Raw genomic sequence first — 20,431 nt, 5'->3', positions numbered from 1 at the left:
CCCCAGGGAGTTTTGGGCCCATGCTCCCTCTACTGGCCTGCTGGGACACGGCTGCCCCTGGGACCTCCAACCAGCAGAGGACACCCCCTCCTGCTCAGCACATTGGTCCACAAGGCCTGGGGGCTGGACTGTGCTGCTGTGTCTCGCTGCCCAGGGCCCCCTGGCATTGCCAGAGGCCATCGCAAACTCCCAGCTGGGGTCTAAGGCTCTGCCCAGTAAGGTCTCATGGGCACAGTGGAGAAGACGTCCTGAAAGCACGGGTTTTGCTCTCCAAACAAGGTGGAATATCCAACCCACGAAGAGGACCCCTCCCTCCCTCCCTCCCTCCCAGCCACCCAACCAGGGAAGTCGGTCCCACCTGTCATGGTGCATCAGCATGTTCACGATGTCCTTGAAGCAGTCTGGCTCCTTGGGAGAAAAAAAGCCACTGCTGATCTGGTCCACGGCCTGCTTCAGCTCGGGCAGGTGGTCGTAGTACTCCCTGGCATTGTACCTGTGAGGCGATGGGCCAGGAGTCAGCAGCCAGCGCCCCAGGTGGGCCACCTTGGAGAACAAGCCATGTTGGTGCCTGGCACAGCCCCTGCCCCAGGATGGCCCTGGGAGCTCAAGGCCTGCACGGTCCAGGGCAGCAGCCAGTGGCCATGGGTGGTTACGAGGCCCTTGAGCAGGGACCTGCTCGAGCAGAGATGTGAAGTCAGTCTAAAGCCAATCCCACCTGCTCCTTTGACTGTTAAAGAAATGTCATCACTAGCAGATCTGCTAGGACATAGTGGCTGATGCCACATTCCTAGTGGAGAGGGCCACTCAGAACTTGGCTCACTGTGAAATCCTGGGCAGAGCTTTTGAAAAACAGACGGCCGGAGGGGCAGGAAGTGAAATGGAGCACCTTGGCTGGGACCTCGAAGATGGAAAAGGAAAAACGCAAGCAAGACCAGACAGGACAAGGCAGAGCTAAGTGGGAGAGGGACGGACGGGCAGACATGGGCATCCCAGGACGGGGCCCGGGCAGAAGAAGCTGTGTGAGGGCGCAGAAAGGGAGCACAGGCCTCTGTGCTCGGGCCAGCAAGGCACAGCTCTGACTTCAGATGGCATGTGTGGTTTCACCTGACCCTACTTAAGGCCTCACAGGCTCCCCAGTGCTTCAAGGCAATCAGGCAACACTGCCTTTTCTTTGTAATTATCGCTTGGAATCAGGCCCGTGCTGGATTCCTCATGACGTCCAGATCATGAAGAACAAGGAAAAACTGAGAAGCTGTCACAGACCAAATGACACTGGGGAGACCTGACGGCCACACACAGTGGAGTGCCCTGATGGGATCCTGGGATGGGAAAGACAGTAACAGAACCCCGGTGGAGTTGGAATGGAGTGTGGGCTGCAGGAGGGCCAGTGCTCTGAGCTCAGTGCAGCCAACGGAGGGGCGCGGGGATAAGGTGGATGAAGCTCTGGGTGCTGTCTTCAGGATTCCCTCCTCCCCTCTGCCACCCCCCAACCCCCCCATCCCCCCCACTCCCCCACCCCCCCCGACCCTGGCCTACACATTTAAAATGTTTCCAAAATACTATTTTTAAACAATTTTAACAGTTACAACTTAGACCAGGGAACCTCAACAGCAGGCAAGCCCCAAATCAGCAGAGTGCTCCCGGCAGAGCGCCCCTGGCAGTGGGGTCCTGCCCAGCCCCAGCCCATTTCTGTGGGGCTGCCTGTGCCCAGGGGGTGTCCCTCTAGGAGACCCTCCCCAGGGGAAAAGGCCTTTCCTGGAGGAGGAGCCCCTGGTCTGGACTCCGCAGATTCAGCCTCAGAGCCGAGACAGGAGCAGCCCAGCACCCCCACGTGGGCCTCGCCCGCAGCCCGGACCCCGTCCATTCCATGCACCTGGAAATGGTCACCCCTGCAGGCAGGCACACAGCCCTGGGTGGGCACTGACCCTAGCACACAGTGGCCTGGCCCCAAGAGCCCAGTCCAGCCAATGCCCCCAGCCCAACACCCTTCATTCTCCATCCTCACGGTGCCAGGTGCCCAGGGGCACAGGCTCGCACCCTTTCCGGTCCAAGGCCTCGACATCCTCCACCCGCAGGCCGAAGATGAAGAGGTTCTCGGCCCCGGCCTCCTCGGCCATCTCCACGTTGGCGCCGTCCATGGTGCCGATGGTGAGGGCCCCGTTGAGCATGAACTTCATGTTGCCTGTGCCTGAGGCCTCGGTGCCTGCAGTGGAGATCTGCTGCGACAGATCAGCGGCCGGGATCACTGTGGAGGGGAGCCCGTGGAGGGGATCACTGTGAGGACCCCAATGTCCTCAGCCGCAAGGCTCACTGCAGGACAAGCCGGCCCATCCACCCGGGGCTGGGTCGTGGAGGGACCAATGCTGTGGCCCCGCTCCAGCCCCCACTCCCGCTCCCACAGGGGCCCAGGCTGGACACGGCCACCCGCCTCTGCAGGGCTCCCCTTCGTGACTGGGGCATCCTTGAGGCAGAAGGTCCAAGATGGGGGCTCCTCAGGAGCCAGGTGGCATAGGATCTGTGCACCAAAACCTTCCCCAAAACCAGGCCTAGCCAAGGAGCCAGTCCTGGCTCGCTGACAATGTCGTTCCCTGGATCACCGCGACCTTGATCAGCCCCAGCGGCTCCCTGGATCCTTTCAGGAGGAATGTAGACCAGAATAGAGCCAGAAGGCTGGAGCGGCTGAGGGGTGGCGACCTCCTGGGCGCCAGCAGCTGCCAGATGCCACGGCCCTGCGCTTTCTCTGTGCCTGTCCCTCAGGACTGGTCACCGCTCCCAGACACGCTGTGAGTGCACACACTGACTATACAACCTGCTCTCCACCCTCACCTCAGGCTGCAGCCCAGTCAGCCACAGCAACACTGCCGGGGAGAACGGGGCCCTGACGCCAGCACCGAGACTCCAGACCAGGTGCCTGAAGGCCTGCTCTAAAGATGAGCAGGAGTCAGCTGGCCCCAAAACACATAGGAGGAGGGGAGCCTCAGGCAGCACGGGGGAGAGGAGATGCTTCGGTCAGAGGAGCAGGGAAGGACGAGCCACAGTTCCTGGCCAAGCCGGAGGCAAGCCGGCCCGTGAGTGCCTCAAGGGACCTCGCCTGCCAGGCACCACTAAAGAGGGGGAGCGACATGGACACCAAGGCAGCAGCCAGGCCACAGGGACGGTGCCCAGGGATCCCCCCCTGCACCACGGAGCTTGCAGAACAACAGCAGATCAGCCCTCTCACCTGCGGCAGCCTGGGAAGCCCAGGCGGCCTGAACTAGGGGGGGCCCTTGGCCCTCGGCGGCAGGAGGGGAGCACGAGAAGGCCAGGCTCAGATCTCCCACCATCTGGTGGGCAAATCACTTTCCTGCCCAGTAGAGCCCACAGGGGTGGGAACTGATGGGCTCCAGGGCACATGGCAGCACATCCCAGGGTCTCCCCAGGACTGGCCCAGGCTGCCCTCAGGAAGCACAGATGAGGCAGGTGCTGCCACCTGAGATCACTGGTGGGCCCAAGAGCAGGCAGGCAGTGAGGAGCAAGGATGTGGGCGGAGGAGGGGCAGTGGAGTTGGGGGAAGCTGGGGGCCCACAACCCCACTGGCCTGGTGCATGTCCTGCCAGCAGAGGGGCCCAGGGCAGAAGACACGGCTGAGGGGCAGGAGGAGAGGGCAGGGGAGGGAGGGTACAGAGGGCAGGCCAGGCAGGTCCTGCCAGCAGAGGGGCCCAGGGCAGAAGGCACGGCTGAGGGGCAGGAGGAGAGGGCAGGGGAGGGAGGATACAGAGGGCAGGCCAGGCAGGCGCGGCAGTAAGGGTGCCCTGTTGGGGGATGACACTGCCTGTGACATGCAAGGCGCCCCGGGACGCACTGTGAGTCCTCCGCACTGCACGGGGAGCACTCCCTAAAGCCGTTCCCTGCTCGCCTGCAGCCCGGCTGGCTAGGTCTGGGTGTCCAGGCAGAGCTGAACTGGCTGAGGATGAAAGGCCCGGGGCCAGTACAACGCCCGTTCCCCGGCAGGAGTGAGTTTTCTGTCCAACACAGGCTTCCAGGGTTACCTTTCTCAGCCAAGGACACACGGTAGTTCTCCAGGAAGATCACTTTCAACCTGTCACCCACAACTGGGTCATGATTGACGACGTCGCCGATGGAGGTGACCAACTTGATGATCAGCTTGGCCATGTGGTAACCGGGCGCTGCCTGGAAGGAGAGGGTGAAGGTTTTTAGCACAAAAATGCCTTGTTCAGGCCCTTGGAGGCGCTCCTGGTTCCTGGGGTCTGTAGGGGGGTGAGGCTAGAGCCACAGGAACCTGCCGTCGGGACGGTCAGTAGAGGAGCTAGGGAGGCTCCCCGGCCCCAAGGCCCCAGCTCTGCTGCGCACTCACGATGGTGGCCACCTCGCCACATCCAGAAACGTGTCCGCCTCAAGTCTGGTTTTCTGGTTGTTGTTAGGTTTTCAGAAATTACAAGGTAAAAGAGACCAGGATTTCTAGAGCTGCCGACTGACAGGAAACAGAGAACTGTCCCTAGGGACATACTGGGACACACTGGAGGGACACATTCGGAAAGAGCCAGGCTACGGCGGACAGACAACCCGATGTCTGTAACAGACAGACTGTGGGGAAAACCTACAGAGAACTGAGACACCACGGCCAGTCCAAGGTGAGGACTCACTGGGCCCTCACTCAGACCAACTTTTAGAAATGTCTGTTACTTTACAAAGACAACTGGGCAGGGGACCCATGAAGTACCCGAGTGAACATTTCAGGACACGGAGGACTCCTGTCCAATGCTTTAGGTGTGACGGATGGTGGTACTGTGTGGTGATGTTTCAGTCTACTCCCATTGTGGTTCTGGTGGAAAACATCATTTTATGAAAAGGAATGCTGACGTATGTAAGAGTGAAGAGCTAGAGTGTCTGCAGTTTACTGTGAAATGCTTCAGCTAGTCTGGGTGACAGGTTTATGGTTTTGCTACAATTCTTCCTGCTTTTCTCCAGGTTCAAATGTTTCCTTCTTTTTTTTTTCTTTTTTTTGCTGAGACAGGGTCTGGCTCTGCTGCCCACACTGGAGTGCAGTAGTGCAATCACAGCTCACTATAGCCTCAATCACCCAGGACAATCGATCCTCCTACTCAGCCTCCCAAGTAACTGGGACTACAGACATGAACCACCACGCCCAGCTAATTTTTGCACTTTTTTGTAGAGATGGGGTTTCACCACACTGCTCAGGCTGGTCTCGAACTCCTGGGCTCATGCGATCCACCCGCCTTGGCTCCCAAAGTGCTGGGATTACAGACGTGAGACACCGTGCCCAGCCTAAAATTTTCATAATAACATTTAAAACTTTTTCGAACTCCGTATCTCTATGGACTTTACATACTGAAATACTGACAAATAAAATGACACAATTCCAAAATTTGCTTCAAAAACAGCAGGTGACAGGAGTGGACAGAGACCAAATGGGGTGTGCCAGGAGGTGGCGGAGCCCAGAGGAGTGCCCACCCCTCTGACCAGCTTCCCACTCGCTGAAGGCAGCAAGAGGGCAGCCTTCAGGCTGCACACAGGCACCAGCACCCCCAGGCCCCGGCCTTGCCGTGGAGGGCTGGGGTGCCTCACACAGTCCAGACTCACTTAGGGCCACTGCTCCAGCAGGACCCTCCTAAGGACGCTGCACCCCACAGCAGCCTCACAGTTCTGGATAAAGACCAAGCTACTAGGGAAACATGGCAGGAGGTGGGGACACTGGCCGCAGAGGGCTGATGAGTGTGACGATGTGACCTGGGACTCGATGACAGCACATCTAGGACTCTGAAAGTATGTGTCATAGTAAATAAAGTGAACTGAAACCAGGCAATGCTCAGGGCATGTGCAGGTGATGAAGCAGCCACAACGCCCTGTGCCCACTGGGCACAAAGAGAAAGGACACTGCCCTCTCTGAGGTGGGCACCAGCAAGCCCACTGGGGACTGGCCCTCTAGGCTGGGGACCCCTCCAGTGAGCTGGGCAGGCAGGAGGCTTCCATCCCATTCTGACTCTCTACAGGGTCCCCACCCCCACAGGCATACCAGAGGGGCCGGTGACCGCTGGGCATCCGGTTCCCGAGTATGGATGTGGTGGCACCATGAGAAGCGTGCAGGCTGCCCACCCACTATCCCCAGACCAAACACCACAGAGAGGACTGCAGAGGAAGTCACTCACCTTGCCCCCAATCATAACAGTCCTGGGCACAAAAGCCTTGGCCGGGTCTCTCTTGATTCCTGCAGGACACACGGAAGAGACTCACACAAGGCACCGCGAGCCGGACGAGCCCCTGCTGGGGCCCAGCAGCATCAGAGGCCGACCCTGAGGCAGGACAGGCACGCTCCGCCATGTACTTCAAGCCCCAGAGACACGGGTGACAGTGGCACAGGGCCACTGGCCACCCACCTGCCCACCCACCAGGAACCTGCCACTTACAAGGGAGTGAGGCCACCCTGAGGTCTGCACTTAGGTTCCCCGCTGGTGAGGAAGGCCAGCCAGGACCATGGACGAACCCAGCAGCTGACTCGAGCAAAGATGCTATTCCCCGGGGCTCAGAGGAAAAGCTGCACCTCAGTTTCCAGAAAAGCCCAACACAGGAGCCTCCTTGGGTCTGGTCACCAGTGTTCAAGGCCCCTGTACATGAAGGGCACACTTGTGGGTTTTGTTTGGTTTTGTTTCTTGAGACAGCAGCTCACTCTGTCGCCCAGGCTGGAGTGCGGTGGTGTAAGCGTAGCTCACTGCAGCCTCTACCTTCCAGGTTCAAGCAATCCTCCCACCTCAGCCTCCTGAGTAGCTGGGATCCTAGGCACGTGCCACTGCGCCCAGCTAATTTTTTAATTTTTTGTAGAGATGAGGGTTTCTCTACATTGCCCAGGCTGGTTTCAAACTCCCACGCTCAAGCAACCCTTCCGCCTCAGCCTCCCAAAGTGCAGGGATTATAGGCGTGAGCTACCGCGCCTCGCACTCTACCACTCTTGGGTTTTTTTTGTTGTTGTTTGTTTTTGTTTTTAAGAGTTAAGGTTTAGCTCTGCCACCCAGGCTGGAGTACTGTGGTGTAATCCGGGTTCACAGCAGCCACAGACTCCTGGACTCAAGTGATCTTCCCCTCCTTAGCCTCCCAAGTAGATGCGACTACAGGCACCGACAGGTTACCACATGCAGCTAATTTTTTCACTTTTAGTACAGATGGGGTTTCACTTTTTTGCCCAGACCAGTCTCAAACTCCTGGCATCAAACAGTCATCAGGCCTCAGCCTCCCAAATCACTGGGATTACAGGGGTGAGCCACCACACTGGCCTTAAATTGTGTTTTAAACACATTGTTTGGATGACACAAAGAAAAAGTGGCAACCTCAGCCTTGTGGCTGTGGTGCCATCAGCCTGCAGGGGCGCTGGGTGAGACCTTGTGTCTCCCCTCTGCCTCACTGGGACAGCGGGTGAGGGCCCCCAAAGTTCTTCACAGAAGTGGATGGAGGGTCAAGCCATGACGGCCGGCTCACTGCCAGCCCAGCAAACAGGCTGTCCTCGCCAGGTCATTTGTTTGCAGATTTCACGGGAGGTTCCTACAAAAAGGGGATGAGCGGCCACCCTGGACAGGCGTTCACCAGCGAGCCGGGCCTGGGTGAGGCAGCAGGGAGTCGGGCTGATGTGTACCACCCAGCCCCAGGCTCCAGGAGGAATGCAGCTGCCCCTTAAATGCTGGATCTTGTCACTTCTGGAAATCAGCAGAGAACAGGAAAAACGAAACACACAAGTGATGATTTCACCACAACTAGGAAAGAAGGAAACCATGCAAACCCCAGGTCACAGTGGGCAGGGGACAGGGTCATGGGAGTCCTAACCTCTGGGGAGGGGCACTCTGGGCAGAGAGCTCCAGTCCTGGGGGCCACCAAGGAGCCCCCGGGGAACAGCAGGTTTGGGCAAGCGCCTCTCCCACAAGGGCACCCTCACAAGGCAGGTCCTGGCCTCCAGAGGAGCCTCCCGCCCAGGTGAGACCCGGAGAGACAGCAGAGGCGCAGCCACAGGCTGGGGAAGCATGGCCTTGGCCCAGCAGAGGAGCTGCCTTGGAGGGCTGAGAAGCCTATTCCGAATAGCCCCAGGTGATCCAGCTCACACCAACGTAGCAATGGAAGTCAGCACCCAGCCCCGCCACAGGCCACAGGAGGGGAGTGAACCCCTTCGCAAATCACATACCCTTGGTGACCACCAACTTGGAAAGACATGGAGCCAAATGCCAAGTCCTCAGGGAGGGGGGCAGAGAGCAGAGGAGAGGAGCAGAGGGCACGGGAGGAGAGTGCAGCCGGCAGAGACTCCAGAGAGCAGTGCCACTCCACAGGACAAGGACAAACCAAGTCCTGAGAGAAGTAGGCACCAAGGAAGAAGGCCAGAGAAAGCCACCTCACGCCACACTGCAGCCCAGAAGCAGAAAACCAAACAGAACCAAACACACGTTTCAAACAGACAACTTCCCTGAAGTCCAGCAACACGTTCAACAAGCACCCGGAGTATTGGCGAAAATGCCCTGTAACGGCCAACACCAAGACACGGCAATGACAGTGAGTCACTGATGAGATCGAGAACTCAGACATCGCCAGACTTCTGCACACACACCCACCCTCCAGACAGTGCCCGGTAGGGCCCTAAAAAGCACTGGGGGAAGGAAGTGGAGTTAAGACTGGCATCTTCAGCCAAACCGACCTTCATGGTGAAGGGTCCAGGCCGTTTTGAACAAGCAAGAACTCGGGAAGGTTGTTCCCATGAGCCAGTCATGAACTAGACACAAAGTGGCCAGCAGGGCTGGGCAGCACTTTGCAGAAGGACCGTGAGAAGCAGTGAACATACTCACCACCAGACTCAAACTGATACAGCTGGGGACAGGAGGAAGGGCAAAGTATTGATGCTGTGAGCTCTGACAGTGGGGGAAGGAGACGCAGGTCCACCACAGGTACATGCACAGACACAAGCACACATGTTTACAGGCATGCACACATATACATTTATGCGTGCACACACAGACATGGAGCAAGGGGGAAGACCAGTGGGAGCGAGCACCAGCCTGTTGGCTGCCTCCTGTGAACGGCTGGAAATCACAGCGTGTCGTTCAAAACGAATGAACCAACCAAGCAGAAGTGGAGCATCTGGAAAGCCTGAAGGCCAACAATAGAAGACGATGCAACAACTGACGACTGGGGGTGGCGGAGCGGGAGGAGGAAAGCCTGAAGGCCAACACTAAAAGACGATGCAGCAACTGACTGTGGGGGTGGTGGAGCGGGAGGAAGGGAGGGGGTGACCCGCGAGTCTCACTGCCGCTCATCAATAGGACCAAGCGTTGTGCAAGCGGAGGACTCCGGGTCACCACCAGGGGAACACAGAGCATCACAACTGCAGGAGGAAAATGGGGCAAGGAAAGATGATGCAAAGTTCCCGTGCACCATCTCGGAGCCGGGAAGCCACAGCCCCGGGAAGCACCTCCCGTGGTGCCCACACGGCAGAGGGGTCCTCAGCGGGGGTGGCCTCTAGCCTCTGTCCTACCATGTGTGTCTCAAACGCACCCAGATCCTCCACCCCATCGAGGCTTACTCATTGGGAATAGGAGATCTATTCCCGGGAGGAGCTTTGTATCGGAAAGGAGGATGTGTGGTTCCTTTGGTTTTTAAAATACCTACTTTATTAAATTACAAAATTTTAGAAACCTAGTTTTTCCTTAAGGTTTCATTATCTATTAAACCTAGCAAATATTCACATTGACCTTTGGGGGTCTCTGTTTCATGTTTGTCTCATAATTAAATGTCCTTAGACATATAAGATGCATGTGTAAATTTAACACATACTATCTTAATTTTTGTAAGTATACTTTAAATGCCTCTAATAAGCATAATCTTTCTAAATAAGATTAGTCTCACAAAGATAATAACTAAATTTAAAATAAAAACTGAAGGCCCGGTACAGTGGCTCATGCCTATAACCCCAGCCTTTTGGGAGGCAGAAGTGGGTAGATCACTTGAGGCCAGGAGTTCGAGACCAGCCTTGGCAACATAGTGAAACCCTGTCTCTACAAAAAATACAAGGGCATAGTGGCGTGCGCCTGTAGTCCCAGCTACTTGGGGGACTGAGGTGGGAGGATTTCCTGGGCCCTTGGAGGTCAAGACTGCAGTGAGCCGTGATGGCACCACTGCACTCCAGCCTGGGCCTTTCGGGTGTCTAACTGTTCACCTGCTCACGTGAGGCCTGGCATGGGGCACACAGAAAAACATGGCTTTTGCTTAAAATAAACGTGCCACATCACACATGCACACGCCTATACACACACAGCCCCCACCATGACAGAGGCCCAGGGTCTGTGCACAGCTGGCGGGCAAGGGCAAGCCTTGGGCCCCACAGCGCGGTCATGCAGGTGATGCCGGCACTCACGATTGTACAGGGTGACGACGTGCAGGCAGTTGAGCAGCTGCCGCTTGTACTCGTGGATCCTCTTCACATGCACATCGAACATGGAGGAGGGGTTGATCTTCACCTTGTACTCCTTCTCCAGGAAGGCCGAGAACTTGAGCTTGTTCTCCTGGGAGGGTGAAAGGGAAAGATGGCTGGAGACTTCACCAGGACTCCATCCACTGACCCTGCGGCTTCCTGCTTCAAGTGCCCTGTGAAGAGTGCCGCAGGGAGGGGGCAGGGGTATACAGGCTGGAGCTGAGGGGCAGAGATTGCACCAGGGGTCTTCTCATGGGAAAAGGGGAGAGGGGGATGCTGAAGGTGGGTCCACACCAAGAGTAGGGGATAAGTGAGGAGCCGGCCCAGGAGCACGCCTGGAGCCAAGCAGAAGACACTGCAGAGCCAGGCGTGCAGGCGGCGGAGCAGCGCGGGAGCGGGACGGCTGAAAGGACTACAAGGAGAACTAGTTCTGGCCTCTATGAGGAGGCCAAGCTCGACAGGCTGTGTAGATGGGCCTCCAGCCCGCTGAGGTTTGAAGGCTGCCGTGACTGGCCCTGGTCTAGCCGAGAGGCTGCTGCCGGTGCAGACAGCTCGTGCACCTGCACAGCTCTCCAGGGGCAAAGAGGGTACCACGCTGGAATCGGCTTCTAGAGGCTTCCATACAGAACTGACCTGTGGCAGAGGGTCGAGGCACGGGCAGGGCTGGCCTGGGGTCTGCACTCACCTATCTGCCATGTGACCTGTCCTCCTCGGGGCCCTCATCTGAAAGGCTGAGTGGGGTGGAGAGACCTCAGGCAACCCTAACAGCCTCACCCTCAGTCCTGTTCTGAGTCCCCACTAAAGCCCCAGTGGGTACCCCAGGACCTGTGCTGGGCCTGTAGGAGGGCTAGGGCCAGGGCCTACCTGCCTGGTTGTGGGAGGGCTGGGGTCGGGGCTGGGGCCAGGGCCATGCCTACCTGTTTGACCTTGGCCACGTCCCTGATGAACACCTCGTCACTGACCAGCGGCAGCAGCTTCTTCAGCTGGCTCAGGTCAGTCAGGAACTCCTCCCCAATTTTCTGGAGAACGTAAAGGTTCCGCTCACTGTGGGCCTCAGCCTCCTGAGGCTGGGCCCCCTAGCCACCTGCCCTCCTCCCATTGTTGCCCACGCCCCTGCTTTCCCCTGGGATCTGCTTGTCCGGCCCCTCCGGGCATCCCACCTCTCAGGCCACAGGGTTACCCCAGCAGCCCCTCCTTCCTCTTCTGAGAGGGCTCTGCGAGATGGCCCAGTCCCACCAGTTCAAACGTCCACAGGAAACACACGACCCTCCCTCAGCCACCGATCCCAGGGTTCTCTGACATTGAACATCCCATCACCACCCAAAACCCAAAGCCATCCTCCCGCTGCCCTCCACCAGCACCTTCCCTGCCTGAAGCAGGCGGTCCCCTCAAAGCCAGCACCTCACCCAGGTGCTGCCTGCAAACACTCGGCCACCTCTCCTCACTGTACCCAGGCCCATCTCAGACTGCACAGGAGCCACGCTGCTTTCCAGGTCCCAGGGGCCCGTCCCCCAGCACAGGGCATTGAACCAGTTTGCCCCAGAGCACTGCTCACTCTCTCTTCATTCCCTCTTCAGACCTCAGCTTTCCTGGGAAGGCTTCCCTGACCATAGCCCCAGGTGGGCGGTCCCACCCTCCCAGCGGCTGGTCCTTGCCTGTAGCGCAGGGCCTGACACCTCAGCACTCATTTCCTCAGGGAGCTTGCATAGGAGCCAACATACAAACAGGAAATAGGTGCCCAGCCTAGCTGGCAGTCAGCTGCCTCTTGACTCTTTTGCAGTGGCCCCGTGGCTGCACTCAGCCACACCCCAGCCCTCCCTAAAGCTCGGCTTCTGAACTCGCACACAGGACCCGCCAGGCCCAATGGGTGACTGCCCAGCTCAGCGCCCATGTTCAGGGGCTCAGCCCTCATGTCCAGAAGCCTGCAGGTCAACACGTGAGGGACAGACTCCTGCCTACTCAGCAACCGCTCAGCAGGGGCTGATGACATGGCCCGCGGTTCTCAGCCCAGGCATCTCCACAGGCACGGGTGGGGCCCGGGACTCACCTCCACGATGGTATCGGCCAGCCCCGGGTTGCACAGCAGCAGCCACCGGCGGGGGGTGATGCCATTGGTCTTATTCTGGAACTTCTCTGGCTCCAGTTCATAAAAATCCTTAAAGCTGCAAACACAGAGAACAGGGAACTGTCACAAATGCTGTGCCCTGCACCAGGTGAGCAACAGACCTTAAAGTCCTTTTAAGGAGGTCCCAGGAGCCCTCAAGCTCAGTGGTTCTGTTCTGTTTTCTAAGGAGAACAGAGTGACCGCGGCAGCTGCAGGCTCTGGGAGCCATACGAAGGCAGCACCTGCACCCCGGGGCATCTGTGGCTGGCTGTGCGGTTTGCCCAACCACAACCTTGCAGGCATTAGAGCCTGGCCATTCTCCAGAGCGGTCCGTGCGGAAACAGGTGTCCAAGTCATGACAGCCGAGACCGCAGGACTTCAGGGCTTGAGAAGCTGCGCTCGGTTTCCTCATAGCTACTGGGGAGGGGCCCGACACGAAGCTTGCTGCGGGCGCCACGCACAGAGCCTGCAGCCCAGCCCCGGGCACAGCCTCCGCTCCCGCCGGCTGCTGCCTGCTCAGTACTCACAGTAGGTGCTCAGCACATGCTACGTGAAAGAGTGGGAGTAATTCCTAGATCACGCCCCACCTAAGAGGGGCAAGAACAAGATCTGACCTAAGAATCCCACCTTCAAGCCCTGTCCAAGCCCTGCCAGCGGCAGGTGGACCAGTGGTGCAGAGCCTCCGACTGGACCCCCAGGAAGGCAGGGGCGCAGGAGAGCAACAGGAGACAAAGCCGTCTCCCCGTTGCCCGCAGAGCCAGAGCCCTCCAGAGGCCCCCGTGTGCTGGTCGGTGAACGCACAACAAGGCGTGACCCTGACAGGGTGTTCTGGGCAGCTCTGTCATTCCTATGGAGGCAGGGGCCTAGTGGCACAGGTTGTATGCTATATAGCTGGGTCCATGTGTTTGGTGGATGGTCCTAGACGCAGGCCTGGGTGTCAGACAGAGCTGGCCCCGCTCGGGCAAGCGCCCCACTCACACCGACTGTTTCACGATCTCCGAGTGGATCCTCGCCACACCATTGACAGCATGGGACCCAATCACACACAGGTGGGCCATGTTGATCCGCTTGCAGTCCCCCTCCTCGATCACAGACATCCTGCGCAGGCGGTCCACATCGCCGGGAAACAGCGCGGCCACGTGCTGGTGCCAAAACACAGAGGCAGGTGGGTGGGCACAGGAGGCCCCACGGAGACCCAGCACTCCCCATGACCAGGGGACACTCCATGACCACCCATGGGAAGCTCTGCTGCCTCCAGGGAAGTTCTGGGGCTGTGACAGCCAGACCTCCCTCAAGTGCTCCCAGACCCAGCAGGCACCTCCAAGGCATCTCACAAGAGCCCAGGCCCAGCTTGAGGAGGAGGCTCTCGCTCACCCAACTCCCCAGCCCAGGAAAGGGCCCAGCCCGGCCCAGGGACCCACAGGGCTGCTGTCTGAGGAAGATGGGTCTGAGGGAGAGGACGTGCAATTTAATTTACAAAGAGGAACCTGAGGCTGTGGGCCAGGCGTGGGGATCAGCCAATAGCTCTGCCAAGGGACAGCCCCCAGCCCCAAGCATCCTCTGCTGAACAGAGGGTGCCTCGTTCAAGGAGCAAAGCACCTCCTCTCCCAGGCCAGGTGGGGGGCCGTTGGCATGGGTGTAGCCGCCACCCTACACGGCCAGCTGGGCCCACACTCACGTCCAGGTGCCGCTGGTTGATGGCATAGATTATCTCCAGGTGCCGCGGCAGCAGCTTCTCAAACATGGACACGGGCCAGCGCTCCAAGGCCTCAGGCAGCACAGTGTGGTTGGTGTATGCACAGGTCTTCTTCGTGATTTCCCAGGCCTAGGCCATTAGAGAATGTTCCCATGTGTTTGTTTAGAAACAAGCAGCTCTCTGGCCAGTTGCCTAGGCAGGGTGAGCGTCCAGGATCCCAGGCAGATGCTGGGTACCCCAGGAAGGGCCACCGTCCCCTCTGCTCTCCAAGGTGGATCTGGAGCCCTCTGAAAGCCTGACACGCAGCCCAGAGCCCTCACTCTGCTGACGCAACCCACTGAAGTGTGACATTATGGTCCAGTGCGTGACACACACACAAATAAGACACAATCGCCTGCTACCTGGAGTCACCTTCACACTCTGCCGTCACTGGTAAACGGACAGACCATTGAGCAGTTTTCTATTTATTTCCACTAAAGTGGCCAGACATGGTGGGGAGGACACTGGTTACTACACAGACCTGCCCTATGCTGGCCAGAACTGGGGTACCCACAACAGGTACAGCCTCACCTGGAGTGCACACACCCCAAGACCAGAGAGGGGCTTGGGTTTCTACAAAACGGAGTTAAAAAAAATCGTTTTATGGTTTCTTTTGGTTTTATTTTTCTGGGTGTGTGCTGCCACACCTGGCTTTTTTTTTAGAGGTGGGGTCTTGCTGTATTGCCCAGGCTGGTCTCTAACTTCCGGCCTCAAGCAACCCTCCTGCCTTGGCTTCCCGAAGCACTAGGATTACGGGTGTGAGTCACCACATTGGCCTGTTTTATGGTTCCACATGTTGATTTGGTAACGGTTAGATTAAGAAAATCCTACCACACAAACATATTTAAGTCCAAAATACACTGAATCGCGAGGGCAGGTGCATGAATAGAGCACAGACCTCTAAACACTTAACGCTTTGGGGAGCTGTCACCAAATTTCAAGATGAGAATGCACCAACGGGAAACCCTGAGAAGTGTCACAGCCCTATCCTTATCATCTCCCCCGCGCCCTGACCCCATACTCTGGCCCCCGGAACCTCCGTCTCCTGGAACCAGACCCCTCCCACAGCTCGCGTCTCTCCTGGGCATGATGACCACACAGCTCTCCCAAGGCCAGGGAAGAGGCCCCCCAGCTCAGCTCCTTGTAGCCCTGGTCTGCACGGGCTCCAGGCTCTGGGGAGGTGCCGCCCTTTTCCTCCATGCTCACCTTGTCCCAGTCCACCTTCTCCACGTCCACCAGGATCCGCATGAGCTCAGGGATGGAGAGGGCGGGGTGGGTGTCGTTCAGCTGGATGGCCACCTGAAGGTCGCACAAGGGGTGCCATTCAGTCATTTCATCCCACGTGGGCACCCACGGTTGTTGGCATACGAAGCTCCCCAAGTGAAGGAGCCAGCCCAGCCCACCCCACCCCCGAGAAGCCTGGAGAACAGGGAGGGGTTCTGTGGAGGGAGCAGGGAGGACAGTCGGGCTCGCACTGTGGCAGGTGTGCGCTGTGCCCGATGTGCCTGCTGGTGAGTGCCCTACAGCTGTGTGCTCTGCTGCGGGTATGTGCTGCAGCCGGAGGGGAGGAGCCGTGGCCACCGGGGCTGGGGGCTCTCTCACTGGAACTATAGGGCTTTGTTTGGAATAACCCCATTTAGCCTGCCCAGCACATCTGACTTTGCACAGGAGCCTTTCACCATGTCCCTTGCTGACCTGACTCCTAACAAGGCCGGTGGCCCTTGTTCTGGAAGGGAGGGCCCAGGTGGGATCCTGGCCCAGAATGACGAGACCCCAAGACAAGGGGCATGTACCATTCCACTCTAGCCCCTTTTGGGACATGAGAAAGCAACCTCAAGAGCCTGAAGGCGCCCAGCCCCTGGCACTGAGATCCCTCCCAGGGCCACCATGCACCTTGTCTGGGAACGTCTCGAAACAGGTTCTCACAGGGTCCCGGCAGCCGAACTTGGACGACTTGAAGCGGCGGATGATGTCCTGGAGCGTGGCGGCCACCACGAAGTACTCCTGCTTCAGCCGCAGCTCCTTCCCCTCAAAGAACTGCACACAGCAGAGCAAGCTGGAGGGTGCAGGCTGGGCCATTCTCCTCCCCCAGGAAGCCCAGGTCAGCGACCTGGCTCAAAGGTGCAGGCAGAAGGCCGAGAGGAGCCCAGCCCAGCTGCCTGACACTGGGGCCTGCCTGTGTGCCCTCAGGTCACTGAGGAAGGTAACCCCGCCTGTGGGACACACCCCGGGACACAGTGTCCATCCGTCAGAAGTACAGTGCCAGCGCTGCTCAGGAGCTGCACTGTCCAAGCACAGGCCTTCTGGAACATTCTGTACCTGGGGCTTGGGGTCTGCCAACAGTCTCATGGGGACAGGGGAGTGCACTCTTTGATGAGCCTTCCGGCACCCAGGCCTTTGCTCCTGTGTGCACAGGTTACTTTCATAAAACAAAAAGCTCACTTTTAAACATGCTCTGCCCACTAGGGCATCTTCTAAGGACTTGTCAGGCAACAACAACAAAAAGAAAGCCACTGGGCACTAAATGCAGGTGGCAGTGGGGAACATGGCTGCGACACCATCACCTAGTATGGGAAGGGCATGTGCCAAGGACCTTTCAAATGTCCCCAGGCATCAATGCCAAGTAGGCGCTACGGTCCCCTGGACAGACAGATCACCTGCTTGGGGAAGTGGCACTGCAGGCTAGAACAGCACACAGACTGGAGGGCTGACGGGCTCCAGCTGGCCCCAAGGAGCGGCTGTGTGTTTATGAGGGGAGTGGATAAGAGGGGAAGGTGGCAGAGAGTGTCCTCGGAGAGAGGACCACAGAGCTGCCAAGAGGCACACGAAGAGCCGCTTGGGCTTTATGGAGGACAGTGCACCCTCTCCTCCCCAAGGGCATCGTGTGTGCACCTAAGGCGAGAGGGCCACCAGGTGGCTGCTTGCCAAGGCCAACAGCAGGCCCCACTGGGGAGCCCGGCCAGCCAGCCCACCTCTCTATGCCAGAAAGCGATACGGCCTGAGCAAGAGTGCCCAGGCCAGCTACTCACGTTATCATTTGGATACAGGACCCTGGAGATGTTCTCAGCCAAGTTCCGGTCCAGGACCGCCTCGATGTAGTCTCCCACGTTGACTAAGAAGAAATGGAGCGGGGTCAACACACACATGCCTCCTGGCACCAGCACTGCAACCGCTCAGGGGCCTACTTGCAAAGGCCAAGGAAACTCGCTCGAGCACAGGACTCCCCCAGCCGCTGCATTACTTCCCCTCACCCCCATCCCTGGAGGTAAACGTGATCCCTCCTGCAGCTCCCCTATGTACCGCACACAACTCCATCCCCCTCACTCCTCCCCAGGGGCACATGATCTGCACAAGGTGACCCTGGGTGCCCAGGGCCCAGGTGTCTTGGTCGCTCTGCCTGTAGGCCCTTCCCGGGCAGGCCCCACACACAGGTAAGCTGCACCAGCCTCGCTCTTCACTGGGACGCAGGGACACCCTAGAGGAGGGCCGCGCGGCCTCCAGGACAGTGAGCCACAGGGCGCGGTAAAGGCTGTGGGCGAGGGTGTCTGGGACCAGCCACCCACATGGACACAAGGGTGCCAAGAACCACGGAACGTACAGTCCTGCAGCTTGAAGTCGTTGGGAGCCTTGGCGGACCACAGCCGCATGGTGTTGACGGTGTTGTTCTTGTAGCCGGGCACTGGGGTGTCGTAGGGCATGGCCAGCACCACCTGGCCACAAAACGGGTTGCTCAGGACGGAGTGGCAAGGGCCCCCGCCGGCCCCTGTGCCTCTCCCCGGCCCAGCCTCCTCCTGGGCACCTGGCGCCCTGCTGGCCCCCCACCGTCTCCCCCTTCTGCCCAAACACATCCACCCAGCCCATGCTCGGCACCACAGTCTCCGTCCACGCCCTCCCCTGTGGTGCCCACATTGTCATCCTGAGAGGACCACCCGTCCCACCACCCTCCCCAGACCAGACCTATCTTCTCACTTGACCTTCCTCAGGAATGGCTTTGACTGAAGAATCATCCCCATCCCGACTCCCTGAGGTGCTGCAGCACCAACCCCCACCTCCCTCCTTACCCTCTGCCCTCCGCGCCTCCCCTCCTCAGTCAACTCTGCTCTAGCAACTCCAACACGCAGATGCTTGCCCCGCAGATCACCTCTCTCAGCTCCACCTGCGGGAAGGTTGCTCCTGCAGCTGCCTTGCCTGCTACCCTCCATGTTCCCAGCCCCCCAGCACAAGCCCAGCTGCGCTCCCTCCACCCCAGCCTGGCTCCCTCTCTCCTTGACAAGCCCCCAGGTTCCCCTGCATCCAGAGACATCAGCTCCGCTACCACCAAGGGCAGGAGGGGGCTCACAAAGCTGAGGCTCACCTGTGGTCCCAGCTCCCCGGCAGGCGCACTCAGGGATGCTTGGGTTCATCCCGGCACACACGTGCCTGTGGCACTGCCAGTCAGCTCTGACAGCCACACAGGCGGCGCACCGGGGCCACCAAGACTAAAACCCCAGTATCCCTTTCCCTTCCTCTCTCCTGTCAACCCTTGCCCCTGCCCCACAAGGCGACACCCAAGTGAGCGACAAGTCCCCGCCAAGGCATTCTAGCCCCTTCCATCCTGGCCAGGCCTCGGGGCTAAGCCCATCTTCACAGCCTGCCTGGAATGTCCCGGTTCTCCAGCATCCCCACTCACACTGACATGCTCATCCACAAACACATCTACAGCGCCGGTCCCCTACCCTGCTCTTGCAAGTTAAATACAACTTTTCAGGGCATTTTCAGCCTCCATGGCATGGCCCCAGCCACTCGAAGCCCATGTATTTGATTTAAAACTGTGTCCTACAAAGTCAAGACAACTCCCTCTGCACACCAGTGACCACCCAGCCTCCAGGCTCTCCTGTTATTGCCCGTCCTTCTCCATCACAGGTGGCTGAGTCTCACCGATGCCCCCACGTTCTCCTGCAGCCTCTCCTGCCAGCCCCTGCCCTGCCCCAGTCATCCCGGCTTACAGCTGCCCGGAGCCTGGACTGGGTGCTCCCTCACGTGGCCTCTGCGTGCCTGGCACCCGTCGCTGCCGAGCACTCTAGGCTCTTGCCCTGATTCCCCATCAGCACCCTGCTGGGCAGGAGGGCCTGGCCCCATCCCCGGATGTCACCCAGGCCTCGCACACACTCCAGGGGCTCTGACAGTTGACGCTTTGAGAGCCATGGGCCACGTATGGCGCCAGGAGGCCAAGCGAGCTTGTCGTGTGCTCCACAGAGATAGTGGGAGCTGTTTTCGCCCACCCTGGGGGTCCGTGCCCCCATCCCATCAGAACACCCTCCTGCCTGCCCTTAAGCAGCGGGGTTCTCGTGAGCATCTGGCTGTGAGTGGACGCCCAGCTGCATTCTTAGCCCCAACACACAGCTCCTGCCCAGCGGGGCTTCCCCCATGGAGTCTCGCTGCTGTGCTCAGCGCTTCCACTGTTTGGGAAGCTCCCATCAAAGTGTAAGAGACTGGGGAGTGAGGAGAATAAACCTCCCCCGGCTTTTACCTTAAGTCCTCCAGGGAGGCAGCAAGCCCCCCAAGCCAAAAGAAGCTGAGCTGTCTACAAATGAGCCGCAGCAGCCCCCTCACCTGGCTCCAGCCTTGCCCGCAGACATTTCAGCCCAGGTACCTGTGTGTCCAGCCACTTCACGCCGTCGGGGGTGTGCTCCACGCGTCCGTAGAAGTGCACGGGAAGCATATACTCAGGCCGCGCTTTCTCCCAGGGGTTGCCGTAGCGCAGCCAGTCATCGGCCTCCTCTACCTGGAAAGAAGCCAGCTGTGAGGGCACCCTCAGCGCAGATGTCCCAGGCCACCGCCCTGTCCTGGACCCAGCAGACCGTGCGGTCGAGATCACACAGTGCCTGGCACTGAAATTTACCTACAGCCACTTACCAGGTCGGGATTCCCACTTCTGGCGAAGCCCACGTGGGTAAAATGAACACAGTGGACACTAAAGTAACAAACTCAAAATTTAGAAACACGTGCCCAAAAAGAAAGACACTAAGAACCACTGACTGACACATGCTCCGATCTGGATGGAGCTTGAAAAACCTACACTCAGTGAAAGAGGACAGACAAAAATACCACGCATCACACGAGGCTATTTACAGGAAAATGTTCAGAACAAGCACCT

General features: G+C 58.7%; 1 protein-coding gene across 2 annotated transcripts in view, besides 1 other annotated feature; it reads right to left on the bottom strand.

Annotated features, from left to right (window-relative positions):
- PYGB (glycogen phosphorylase B) overlaps positions 1-20,431 on the bottom strand; it is a 49,928-nt gene that overhangs the window by 3,362 nt on the left and 26,135 nt on the right. Inside the window, exons 5-18 of one of the 2 annotated variants that reach the window (NM_002862.4) lie at positions 19,928-20,059; positions 17,894-18,005; positions 17,325-17,407; positions 16,189-16,332; positions 15,502-15,594; positions 14,239-14,385; positions 13,539-13,702; positions 12,504-12,618; positions 11,374-11,475; positions 10,400-10,547; positions 6,168-6,226; positions 4,029-4,170; positions 2,038-2,245; positions 359-493 (exon numbers count right to left, since the gene is read on the bottom strand). In NM_002862.4, coding sequence (NP_002853.2) covers positions 359-493; positions 2,038-2,245; positions 4,029-4,170; positions 6,168-6,226; positions 10,400-10,547; positions 11,374-11,475; positions 12,504-12,618; positions 13,539-13,702; positions 14,239-14,385; positions 15,502-15,594; positions 16,189-16,332; positions 17,325-17,407; positions 17,894-18,005; positions 19,928-20,059 — 1,784 coding nt within the window. Of the gene's footprint in view, positions 1-358; positions 494-2,037; positions 2,246-4,028; positions 4,171-6,167; positions 6,624-10,399; positions 10,548-11,373; positions 11,476-12,503; positions 12,619-13,538; positions 13,703-14,238; positions 14,386-15,501; positions 15,595-16,188; positions 16,333-17,324; positions 17,408-17,893; positions 18,006-19,927; positions 20,060-20,431 lie in introns of those variants that run through there. The other variant, XM_047440342.1, reaches the window with a different exon arrangement.
- Positions 49-571: an enhancer, noted in NCBI's record as "H3K4me1 hESC enhancer chr20:25274716-25275238 (GRCh37/hg19 assembly coordinates)". NCBI's record gives its function as "activates a minimal SCP1, AML or CMV promoter by ChIP-STARR-seq in primed H9 embryonic stem cells {active_cell/tissue: H9 hESC(primed)}" and the evidence as "EXISTENCE:reporter gene assay evidence [ECO:0000049][PMID:30033119]".

This window comes from Homo sapiens, chromosome 20, assembly GCF_000001405.40.
Source record: "Homo sapiens chromosome 20, GRCh38.p14 Primary Assembly".
Lineage (NCBI taxonomy): Eukaryota > Metazoa > Chordata > Mammalia > Primates > Hominidae > Homo > Homo sapiens.
This window is presented reverse-complemented; position numbering and strand designations above follow the sequence as displayed.